Source organism: Homo sapiens, chromosome 1 (assembly GCF_000001405.40).
Source record: "Homo sapiens chromosome 1, GRCh38.p14 Primary Assembly".
NCBI classification, from domain to species: Eukaryota; Metazoa; Chordata; class Mammalia; order Primates; family Hominidae; genus Homo; species Homo sapiens.
This window is the reverse complement of record NC_000001.11, coordinates 170,508,264-170,521,647: the sequence shown is the minus strand read 5'-3', so window position 1 is coordinate 170,521,647 and position 13,384 is coordinate 170,508,264. Positions and strand designations below refer to the sequence as shown.

The following is a 13,384-nucleotide window of genomic DNA, read 5'->3' as shown; positions in this document are numbered from 1 at the left end:
TATTTGTATGTAAATCACTTAAAAATGAAGAGCTACAAGTAATTTAACAGCTTGCATTTTCCTTTGGGAAGCATTCAGAGATCTTTTCCAATAGCTTTCGGATTCCAATTTGTTCTTTTTTGTTAGAACTTTTGTCTGTCCCTGAGTGCATAACTATTAGGTAGGCAGGAGAGATATGTGGGAAAGTACTTTTTTTTTTTTTTTTTTTTTTACTGCTGCATTACAGGTAACTAGAAACAGTGCTGGAGATGGTGGCTGAATATTGTTGAATGAATGAGTGGATGGATGGATGAATCAAGCTGGTGGCCAGCTAGAGGAGCCTAAGGGAGACTAGACTAGACTGGGCAAACATACGCTGTAGACAGCATATTCAGACTGAAGTGAATACCCAGCACCCAGGCAATTGAGTCTTGACTATATTGTGTTCTGGCTTTGGGATATGGTTATGTTCTACTTACATTTGAATACAGTTGCATTTTGATTTCATCTAAAATAAGGAAATCATACTGATGACTCAGAAGATACAAGAAAATTGAGTTTCTCCTGTCTTTTACTTATGCTGTCTTCACTGGAACATTTTAAATATGTATTTCAATGAAGAGGCAATTCCATTTAAGTGAACTAGTATTTCAAGCATTTTTAAAAAACAAAAACACATAAAAAGCATTAACTAGAACTGCCAGGCAAAATAGCCCTCCTGTTTAATAGTTTCCATCAGTCCTCAGTTTAATTACCACATTATTCTGCCAGCTTTCTCCAGAAATAATTGACTGAATGAAGTCATTTCATTTGATATTTACAAACACTAGACTTGTAAAGGGGGTATCTGTCAATTCCCCCTTGGCTTGGAAATGACTAAGGCTGACCTGGCAGTACACAACTGCTATTTTGGGCTCAGCATATTTTCATAGTCACCAACTCAGTAAGATGATGGGAAAGAAAGAGAGGCAGGTAAAACTTTTGGCATTTGTGCTCAGTTTTCTAATTTTGTAATTTTTGCTGTGAAAAAATGAGGGAGTAAAACCCTGATTTGCTCTAAGACACAAACAGGTTGGAAGTGATGTTTTTGTGTGTGGTTGTTAGAATATCCTGTTAAATTCTGAATAGTCTAGAAGGAATCTGCAAAGCTTTGGGTAGCTATAGTGAAAGCTTAAACTGGCTTATCAATCATGATAAAAATGAATTACAAAGGTCAGTCTGTTAATGTTATTGATTTAATGTTCTGGAATCAAGTGTTCTTCATTTAGATTAAATAATAAAATATTATTTTGAAGGCATAATGTCAAATGGATAGGAGATAAGATGAAGATTAGGCTGGAAATTATTTTATCTCAGGCAGCCAACAGGAAATTTCAAAAGACAAGGCTAATATAAGTGAAGTTTTTAAAGAATTGAAGTAGAACACCAAATCGCGGCACTATAGATTCAGGTTTATAAGTGTCAGTCATTACTACATAGAAAAAAATGATTCAGAAGCTTCTGGTGGTCTTCAGAAGGAATTGTAGTAATATTTACAATGTGATGTTTTCATAGTGACTATTTATAGTCTTAAAATTTTGAAGGGTGGGGAGATTGGAAGAAAGACCATTTTGGGTAAGGTGTTAATTTAAGAAACAACAGAATAGTAGAAGTGATAAACATCTTAAGAGGCATATAAGAAGTGAGATGGGCCAGGTGCGGTGGCTTTTGACTGTAATCCCAGTACTTTGGGAGGCCAAGGCAGGCAATCAACTGAGGTGAGGAGTTCGATACCAGCCTGGCCAACACGGCAAAACCCCATCTCTACTAAAATTAGCCGGGCATGGCAGCGCATGCCTGTAGTACCAGCTAATTGGGAGGCTGAGGCAGGAGAATCGCTTGAACTGGGAGGTGGATGTTGCAGTGAGCCGAGATTGTGCCACTGCATTCTAGCCTGGGCGGCAGAGTGAGACCCTGTCTCAAAAAAAAAAAAAAAAGAGATGGTTGAAGCTAATATAATTATGAAGAGTATAGAAAGAATGAACTCAGATTTATTTCTTATTCGAATCTACATTTCAGCTACACAGGAGTATGAAATCTCTTAAAGATGAGCCTGAGTAATCCAGAGTATATTTTCATCCATAATATCATCAATAATTTCAGTTCAGTCATCTCAGTGACAACTTAGACATTTGGTGAAAACTCATTTTCATTTTATATGATAGCAGCAGGTTGTGCAGGACATGAAGGCTATACAGTTTTGTGAGGCCTCCTTAAGTAAAAAGTAAATGCAGCACTGTAAATATACACTGAGTTATTGGGACTAGGAAGCCTGATGAGAGGCCCACAAGCTTGAGCTTTAGTAGCTTCAGGTCAGTCTGCTTCTGGTTAACAAATTTAATTTCATTTATATAGAGTGAAAAGATTCATTGTAAGTAAAGCGTAACTAGAATATGAATGTGGTGGAAAGAGGAGTAGATTGGGATTTAAGACCTGTGTTCTAGCCTAGGCTGACTCATTCATTTTCATTGCTCATTTACTGAATGCAGCATTGTAAAAGGTATTATGGAAGTGGCTGTGAATACAGTGAATACAAAGGTCCGTGCTTCTGGAATAAAGCACTCCATGCCCAATCTGAATTTAGGAAATAGTGTACACTCTACCCTTCTTAGTGACACACTATAGGCTTCGGCATATTAATGGCTCTGAGGGGTTTTACTGTTAATAAAAACAAACACATCATAAACACACAAGGTTTAACTTCATTTATTCCAGTTTTTAGGTTCTTTTCTTTTTTAATTTGTATAACACATACTGACATCACCTAGAAGACATTTTGGAAAATGCTGTTATAAGAAATTTTCTCACTCTGCTTTCTTGACGATTATACCTGTTCTTAGGTTTTCCTCTTTGGTCAAGTAGAAACTCTTGTCAGGTAATGGAATCCATATTCCCAGCAGTGTATTTGAGACAGACCTGTACACTTTGGACTCAGCCAGCAGTTCTTATTAAATGATACCACCCATCAAGCAGATATTGGCTGTGTGGGGTGTGATAGGTGCTTAACTGGGATGTAGGGACTGGCTTTTCACAACCCAGGCTTATTCTTCCTGATTCCTGGGAAGACTTTCCTTTAAGCATTCTTCAGTCGTCTTAAATGAGCTTTCTGCGTTAGTGGTGTTGCCTTCTGTGCTTGTTTATAGAGGTTACTACACTTGGCATGTGGATACCACCCAAGCAGCCTGTGCAGGGGTTGGAGGCTCAAGCAAAAGTAAGATTCTACTCCTTCTTCAGACTATTTCTGAATGTGGAGGCTGCCTGAAAGAAGGCCTCTTGCCAAGTATGGCTTGGAATTTAAACTTAATGCCAGTCACCACACCTTTTTTAGGGTAATTACCACTTAACCAAACATTTCTGAGTTCCTTATAAATTGGCCCCCTCAGTCATTTAACCATTTTAGTAGCTCTTCTCTGAACTCGGTCCAAGTTTTCCACAATTCTGGTAACAAGGGACTCTCCAGGGAATTCCATGTCCAGGTGCGGCAACCTTGCCAGGGCATTTGGTGGAGGGGGGCGAGGGAACAAGAGAAAGATGACAATCATCTAATATCCCTTAGGCTCTCATAAATGTATGGCAGCTTTCCAAATAACAGAGTTGAGCTCACAGTAAATGAGTAGGCGAGTAGACTGGAAATGGCTCCTTCTTTCGTTTAGGTGAAAGAAAAGCCAATGGCCACTGGCCTGCAAACAAGTAGTGATGGGGTGTGTGTGAATTTGAAGAAATCCTTCACTTTTAGGATTAACATTATAGCCGTACTTAATGGTAGGAAATCATTCTAAAGCAAAGGTTGAGAGGTTCTTAACAGGGATATTCCAAGGAAAGGCAATGGCCTAATCCAATGTTACCATTGCCCTTTATTCATCATTGGCGCTGTTTTTATGTAAATAAGGTCAGGAAAGTCTTGTCTATTATTTTTGTTTTTTCAGTATTTGATGGGTCTGAATGAAAATCTGATGAAACAGATGTTACTTGAAGCTGAGTGACTTTCTCAGGGTCAAGCAAATAAGTAAATGGAGGAGCCAGAATTATACCCCAGGTATGTATAGTTTCAAGCCCTGTACTTTTTACTTGACTGTAAACAAACAAAGCAAACAAAACAAAAATATTCCTGTTCGTACATCCTGTGTCTAACACTGGTTCAAAAAGTGAAATGTTAACATTTATTGGCAAGTCTTTTTTTTTTTTTTCTTAGTTACTGTCTTACTGTGTCCACATTTAAAAAAAAATTGTGGTCATTAGCTTACCTTTTTTTTTTTTTTGATAACTCCCTTTTATACCAAAAAATAAGATTCCAAAGACATCAGCATCTGGTACTCAGGTGAAAGTACATTATGTCAGTTTGTTGGGGTTCTGGGTGACCCTAACAAGGATACTGGTAAAAGATTAAGATTTAAGTTCAAAATCAATAATAAATTCTTGAAAAATATAGGGTACTTTTATTTGTTGATGTTCGGGACATTAAAACAAATATTTAACATCTGATTCCAAAGCTAATTAAATATATGTATAATGGACCACCCTACAAAATACATTAATAAGTTACTTATGCATGGAGCTATGTATCTTTGTGGCCACTAATGTTTAAACCATATTTAAAATGCATAAATATTGTTATAAAACAAAACTAGGCAAGGAGAACCATACCAGAAGGAGTATAATAGTTAACAACAAATATGCATATGGTTGTAGTATTTTAAAGATACTTTTTGTAATTATGAGAGTTTAAGATTTCAACTGAAATGCAATTATTTCCCACAACCTAGAAAATTACTTGATACTAAGATTCTCAATTCACCATTGCTGGCATGGGATCACATGGCTAATACTGCTGGAATTGGGCTTTTGTTCTAAGCTCCTTGCTCTATCATAGATTTCTCCCTGATCATCACGGGATGATTGTTTCCTTAACAATAATCCTGTAATCAAGTGAGGCTTTTCAGGGAGTCGAATGCTAATATCGAACTCAGAATTCTTCTTTTCTTCTCTGGTCTAACAACTGTTTGTGCCAGCCCTATCCCACTGTAGAGGTTGAGTTCTGTAGATCCGTATCTACTTTGAACACAGCTGGACTCTCAGGTAGTTTGGTCTTTGGGGGCTGATATACCTAAAATAACTATGAATAGTTAAATCTGACCACGTGTGATATGGCAGTTGCCTTTTAATTTTAATGGAATATTTTAGAGCATTTTTATGGAAAAGCTCTTAAAGTTCTTTTTTTCACTACCTTAATGAAGGGGAAAATGTGTTGCTGTAGCTGTTATTTTTTATAATAAATTTAAAGGAGTTCCTACAAATCTTAACAAGTAAAATCAAATATTTAATGCTTTTGGCAAAATGCCTTTATAAGATTTCCAGAACAAAATAAAATGTTCTGTAGTTAAACTTCTTTGAATAAATTAGACTGAATTTCTAAGGGTACTTACATCATGTATCAATATTTTCAAGTTAATTTGATATAAGGAATCATCAAACAGCATCATTACAGTAGTTACTGTTGCAACTGAAAAGACTTATGCTCACATTTTAAACCAGAACAAAAAGCTAGATTCACAAATATGAACATTCCAGATAGAAACCCAATTGTTTTGCCGTTTTTTTAAACACCACATTTCTTTGATATATGCAAATCAGGATAGCCTCTAATACTAGCTGTTGGTATGGGCTACGATTATAAAAGATATTGTGGGCATTCTAACTCTGAGACTTTGTGAAGGCTGGTTCTTTTAGACTAGGGGCAGTGATGTGCTGGTAATGTTTAATAAAAGCCTCTCCAGAAAGAAAACAAAAAATTTGATTGTTGGTTTCCATAGTGTAAACGTGAATTGTGGAGTTAAGAAGAGATATGTACAATCACCCCTTACCAGCTGATGCCAGTGGCATCAACCAGCTCCAGGAGACTACTGAAGAGGAATGACTTTATATTTGTTAAACATGCAATATGGGAGCAATCAGTTATAAAGGCCCAAGTTTAACAGGAAAAAATGTTTAACTGAGTAAGATGGACTAATACCATTACTTTGGGCATAGACCTTCTGAGACAGTTTTGACAAGATTTAGTCACCTTATCAAATGGAGCATTTTGAAAAAATGCCTAGTCATAAACTTAAGTAGCTGTAGAATCAGTGGCTTGACAAAATGAATAGAAATAGAAAAAATTAAAGGGGTAACTTTATGTTTCTTGTTATTCATAAAGAATTTTTACCATTGCTTTGCTCTGAATGAGGTTTGAGTTGGATCCTTGAAAATCATCATCATTTGTATGATAGTTCTGGGAAAGATGTTTTCCAGGAAAAGTATTTTATTAAAATAATTGTAAATAATATTTATTTTGACAGTTTCTGTTCTTCTGTATTATCTCATTGAATCTGCACAACAACTTTCTTATTATCTGTCCCATTTTTCAGATGAGGAAACTGAGGAACAAATAATTTAAGTAACTTAAATTCCACATCTAGTAATTGGGTTAACCCAGACAGTCTGACTCAAGGGTTTGTGCTGTTAGTCAATACACTTTTTTTTTTTTTTTTTTGAGATGGAGTCTCGCTCTGTCACCCAGGCTGGAGTGCAGTGGCACGATCTCTGCTCACTGCAAGCTCTGCCGCCTCCCAGGTTCACGCCATTCTGCCTCAGCCTCCCGAGTAGCTGGGACTACAGGCGCCTGCCACCATGCCCGGCTAATTTTTTTGTATTTTTCGTAGAGATGGGGTTTCACTGTGTTAGCCAGGATGGTCTCAATCTCCTGACCTCGTGATCCATCCACCTCGGCCTCCCAAAGTGCTGGGATTACAGGCGTGAGCCACGGCACCTGGCCAGTCAATACACTCTTATGCCTCAAATATATTTTTTTAAAGAAACCTAGTCATTACTATAGTTAGCCAATGATTTCATATATTTTAATGTTCTTTACAGTAATTGAAATTATGTAAGATTCTTTCAACATATGTGGATAAGAGACATATTCAGAGGGGTAGACAGTTTGTAAAGGGCACACATTTTAAGGTTAGAATAGTTCTGGGCCAGATAATCTTTAGATTACATTAACAAAATGGAGATTAAATAGTAATGTGGCTAAACTATACTCTTGCCTTTAGTTAATAGAAATCATCTGTCAAGAAACTATAAATTTGTACTCTTTATATTGCTGCTTAGGCCAGAAAGAATTTAAGATGCCTTAAAAATACACAGGCACAAATATATATATGTATATATACATATATATATGTATATATATATGTATATATACACACATGTAAATATATATACATATGTGTGCAACTATATTATATATATGAAAATAAAGAAATGTAATTTAAGGGAAGATAAGACTAGGAAAAAGAAAACATGGCAGAGAATGAGGGTAGTACACAAACACTATGTTTCTAGGTATCATATACTTTCTAGAGCTGGATCATACTTTTGCCCTGAATCTTTTCAGAACCAAAACAGAGGGGGGAAATGATATGCAGTGTCATATATATATATATATATATACACACATACATACATATATACATATATATACACATACATACATATATATACATATATATACATATATGTATATATATGTATGTATGTGTATATATATATATTAAAAGTACTTAAAAGAAGCGTAGAAGTTTCTCCCATAAGTGATAATAAAAGTTATATTATGAAATTTAGTAAGCAATGCGCTCAACATATTTAGAGTACAATGCATGTTTTGCCATTTAAAAATATATATATATAGACTGATTGATTAGCATAATTCTATGGCCAAACAGAATGGTCAAATACTGCAGTCCAGGTATGTAAGCAGCAATGGCTTTGTCTGGCTACCTAATGCTAAAATGGATGGGTAGACAGATAATTATGTGCTACACTTGATGGCATATACTTTTAGTCTGGGAATTAATTTCTACTTTTTAATCTGACAGGCTTTTGTTAAAGATTCCAAAAGAAAGATCTTTTTGATTAAAATTGTGGAGCACCTAGAGTTAGCGAGGTATTAGCATGTAATGTAAAAAGAAACAAACTCAAATTGGATAATTTGAGAAAAATTTAATGAAGGGACCATTTACAAAGGTGTGAGCTATGTTAAAGGAAATTAACAAGGAATGATAGCAACTGCTAGGAACCATGACCACCAAGGCCACAGGAACAAGGAAAGGAAGTGGTAACCAGAATCCAAGAACTTGGTGGCTGTTGCTTGCTGAAGTTGTAGTTGTAGAAGGTACCTTGACAGGAGTTGTGGCCCTTTGTAGAGAAAGTCAGCCACTGCTATCCTGTGGCCTGCCAGGGAGGGAGCTGGAGGAATAAATACCCCATCCTTTTTCTCTTCCTACCTACTTACTCCTGCTGGTGCCTCCCACTAGCCTAACCCAACAGGAAGTCAGAGGGCAAAGTGCCTGATTGAGGTAGCTCATAGAAGTCAGCCTCGCAGGGCACAAAACAGAAAAAAGAAAGATTGTGAATTTATCTGGATGGGCAAATGGAGATTACCTAGCACAATGTATACATTTCTTCATTTTCTTAAAAAAATTTATTTGGAGGAAATTTTAAAAAATAAACAGAAGTACAGGAAATAAAACATAAACTTGTATTGCCAGCACACAGGATATAAACAACTATTAACATTTTTCCCCAATCCCAGCCTCTGGCAACCACTAATTTGATTATTGTTGCTGTAGTTTTGAACTCCCACCAGGAATATATGAGAGTTCTAGTTGCTCCACATCTTTGTCAGCACTTGGTATTATCATTAAAAAGAAATTTAGGCATTTAATAGGTGTATAGTTGTATCTCATTGTGATTTTAATTCGCATTTCCCTAATGGCATCTAATGTTGAGCATCTTTTCATGTGTTTATTTGCCATCTGTATCATTTCTTTGGTGACATGTCTATTCAAATCTTTTTGCCCATTTTTATGCTGGATTGTATATTTTCTTATTATTGAGTTTTGAGGGTTCACTTTTACTTCACAAAAAAGTTACTGACCATCCTTCTTTGAACAAAGTTCAAAGCATGGGCAGGGGCAAGACATATGGGGTACCTACCTCAAGCATTATAACTTTGTAAGCAACAGATGGAGCTTTAGCTATGGAGAAACCTTCAGAGGCCTGAGAGGTCAATAACACCTAAGCAATTTGTTTCCAGAGTGAGCCCATTAGGACAGAATTAAAAACAAATAATTCTTTAAGGATAGTATCTTATTCTCTTCGGGCTACTGAAACAAAATACTATAGCCTGGGTGGCTTAAATAACTAACATTTATTCTCACAGTTCTGAAGTTTGGAAGACTGAGATCAGGGTGCCTGTATGGTTGGGATCTTAATAAGGGCCCTCTTCCTGGTTTACAGATGGCTGTCTTCTCCTAGTGTACTCACATGGCAGAGAGAAAGAGAGAGAATCTCCTGTCTCCTGTCTCTTCTTATAAGGGCACTAATCTCATGATTTATTACTCCCAAAGGCCCCCTCTCCAAATCCTATCACACTGAGGACTGGAGTTACAACATATGAGTTTTGGTGGTGGGGGGGTGGGTGGGGGGCACTGAAACATTCAGCCCATAGCAGGTGGCCTTACATTATCTTTTAGATGGCTTCTAGCCAGGCCCTAAAACAACTGTCACAATGGAAGTGAGACGAGTAAGTCTCTCCTGGAAAAACATGTCATCCACCCTTTTCCTTTTCTCTCCAAATACATACCACTTTCCCACCTCCATCTAAAATATTCTAATTTATATTTTATTGAAATTTGTACCAAGGCTTTTGTTAATGAACCATTTTCTATTATGAAGGGGCCTTAAAAGGGATGTGATGTACAAAGTACCAAAGCATAGGTCAAATTATTTTTTGACTACGTACCAAACCAGGAAAATTGTATATTTTTAAACAGAAGAAAAAAGAAGAGGAGGAGAAGAGAGGATGAGTTAAGAGGAGAAAATAAACATTTCAAAATCTTATTTCAGTGGTACTTAAAGGATCTCTGTTACTTTCAGAAACTTTTGAGACAGCTTAGGTATTATTTATTTATTTATTTATTTATTTATTTATTTAGTAGCCTAAAGCAACTTTCCTGTCAATGACCTATCTAACCTCTGTCACTAGAAAGCTATGTGCTGGCAAACTGGCCTCTACAGTTCAAGGTTGGAGAACCCCAGCCAATGCCCCGAGGGTGGGACAGAACCTAGGCGCCAAGCAGTATCCTCAGGCTGCAATTTGCTGGACACACAGAGTCCTGTTCTGCAACCTCCCCCTACGTTGTGGGTGAGTGGAACCCATTAAAATTTAAAAATATTTGCAGAAATCAGAGGGGGGAAAAGGTATTTCTGGAGGGCCAGTACTCAGTGCACTTTCATGCGTGCCAAAGTTTGCTGGCATGGCTCAGGCTTTGATAGAGAACATCTGGGCGACTGCTGCTGCAGCATGTAGATGGGGCGGAGGGCAGGGAACAAAGGGGGCCTGTGAGAGAATGTTCAAGTGGGGGAAATGCTCTCCACGAAGGAGGCCTTACTTAATGTCTATTCCATGCTCAGCTAGGGGAGGGGAATGAGGAGAGGAATGGAAGGTTTTGCCCTCATGTGGCCTCAATAATGAACACTGGAGACTGAGTGGCAGCATAGAACTGGCTGGTTGGGCTACAGAGACCCTTATTTCCACCACTAGACAGACATGCATCTTAGGGTGAAGATGCAGCCAACAGCAGTCACCACCACCAGTGGCATCCTAATGCTGCTTCTTCTCCTAGAGCCTCTTTGTTGGAACCCAAGGGAACAGAAGATGGATTGGGGAGGATGGAGGATTCTATTTTCAGTGGACACAGATTTGTCATTGTTTCCCCTACTGCCAATTCCATTCATATAAACAAGATTGCATATTTTGAATAGGTATATTTCAAACACAAAAGTGCTTTTATTAACTGAAAGTTAAAGTCAGACTGTTGGAAATTTATCATTTATGAGTAGGATTTTGTATCGGATTCTTATTTATGTATGTCTTACCTTACTCAGTATCCATGTATATGTAAGAAAAATCCATCTTTAGACATTTATCAAATCATACCAATGCTGATGTATGATGGGAACCACTGTAGTTCTTTATAAGAATGAATAAACTAATACCCCCTTTACTCAGATAATGATTGTGTTATAAGCTAGCCTGTGTTCTCACAAACATGATGTATATATTTCATTTATAATATCTTTCCTTACCTCTTCCCTTTCCTCCCAGCTCATTGCTTACCTTCTGACTCAGCTCTGAAAAACTAGCTCCACATTTTTAACGCTGCCAAGAGCTCCCTTCTCTGTGGATTCATCTAAGACAACAGATATTAACACTAGGATTGTGATGGCAGTGGAGTCAGTACCAACTGACCCAAGTATTCCTAGCCTGTGGAATCTTTAGACTCACTTAATTCATTCAACATATACTTATTAAGTGCCTACTGTGTCATGAACTTCAGGGATATGAAATTCTGCAAGATAGTCTCTGCTTTTCAGTACCAGGAGCCCCAGATATTATACTTAATGTTTCAAATAGTGGATTCTGGGTTGCTTGAAAGTCAGTAGGCAGCCTTTTTGTCATTAAATTTCCTTTATTGCTCTGATGCATTTTATTTTATAGTGACTCTGACTACTTCAGATTGTTCACAATATTTTAAAACTTACGTTATTAAGATTGCTCAATTCTGCTGTTCAAAAACTGTTAGTAAAATGATAAGGTTACCTTATGGCTTTGAATTTTAGGTGCTTTGGTATCCATGATACATACGTGTATATATAGTCATGCACCATGCCACGACGTTGCAGTCAACTACAGACCACATGTATGATAGTGCTCTCATGAGATTATAATGCCATATTTTTATGGTCCTTTTTCTATGTTTAGAAATATTTAGATATACAAATAATTACCATTGTGTTACAGTTGCCTACAGTATTCAATACAGTCACATGTTGTACAGATTTATAGCCTAAAAGCAATAGGCTATACCATATAGCCTAGGTGTGTAGTAGGCTATACCACTGTTTAAGTCCACTCTATGATGTTCACGAAACAACAAAGCCATCTAATGACATATTTCTCAGAATGTATCCCCATTGCTAAGCAACTCCTGATTGTGTGTGTATATATATACGTGTGTGTGTGTATATGTGTTCCAAAATCAATTTTATAATTAATATTGGTCCTAAGTTCAGAATTCATTTCAACTGTTTATGTTAAGAATTACATTTTGCTAGATCATATGGTAGCTTTATTTTTACTTTTTAATTTTACTTTCTCATAATGGCTATACTAAGTTAAATTCCTGCCAACTGTGTGTAACCGTTCTCCTTTCTCTGTATCCTTACCAGTGTTTGTTCTTTTTGTCTCTTTGATAATAACCATTCTAACTGGGATAAGTTGATATTTCCCAATGGTTTTGATATGCATTTCCCTGATGATTAGTGATGCTGAACATTTTTTCATATACCTGTTGGTCATTTATATGTCTTCTGATCCAATAATCCCACTACTGGGTATATATCCAAAGGAAAATAAATCTGAATGTGCAAAAAAGATCTGCTTTCCCATGTTTATTGCAGCACTATTCACGATAGCCAAAATATGAAATGAACTTATGTGTCCATCAGTAGATCAATGGATAAAGAAAATGTGGCATATGTACAATGGAATCCCATTTAGCCATAAAAGTGAACAAAATTGTGCCATTTGCAGCAACGTGAATGAGCTTGGAGGACATTATGTTAAGTGAAATAAGCCAGGCATGGAAAGATAAATACTGTACATTCTCACTTATATGTAGAGGCTTAAAAAGTTGATAAGAAGTATGGAGTAGAATAGTCATTACTTAGAGGGGGAGAAGGGTAAGGGGGTGGGAAGATAGAAAGAGGTTGGTTAACATACAAAAACTAAATAGGAGCAATATAGTTCACAGCGCTATAGGGTGACATAACAACAACTTATTCTATACTTTCAAATAGTAAGAGAGAAGATTTTGGATGTTCCCAACACAAATGATACATGTTTGAGATGATGGATATGCTAATTACCTCAATTTGGTCATTATACATTGTATACATATGTTGAAGTATCACACTGTACCCCATAAATGTATACAGTTATCTGTCAATTAAAATAATAATAATTTTTTAAAAGAAAAAAATTACATTTTCCCGCTAGTACTTTCACATTCCTAATTATTATTTTTTAATATATTAAGACATTACTTTTAAATTGTTCAAAGACTTTCCCTTTTCCTTTCCCTCCTTTCCACAAGCAGTAAACCAGATCTATCTGAATGACAAATTTATGGTCAGTTACTCCAAGAAAAGCAGTTTTTCAACTAAAATAGTTGAATATTTCTTAAGATCTATCAAGTATTCT

General features: G+C 36.5%; 1 long non-coding RNA gene across 1 annotated transcript in view, besides 1 other annotated feature; it reads left to right on the top strand.

The window, feature by feature from the left end:
• The window catches only part of GORAB-AS1 (GORAB antisense RNA 1), a 71,293-nt gene that overhangs the window by 10,962 nt on the left and 46,947 nt on the right, over positions 1–13,384 (top strand). The window lies entirely within an intron of this gene.
• Positions 2,333–2,533: a silencer, noted in NCBI's record as "peak452 fragment used in MPRA reporter construct". NCBI's record gives its function as "represses an SCP1 promoter by STARR-seq MPRAs in K562 erythroleukemia cells {active_cell/tissue: K562}" and the evidence as "EXISTENCE:reporter gene assay evidence [ECO:0000049][PMID:32103011]".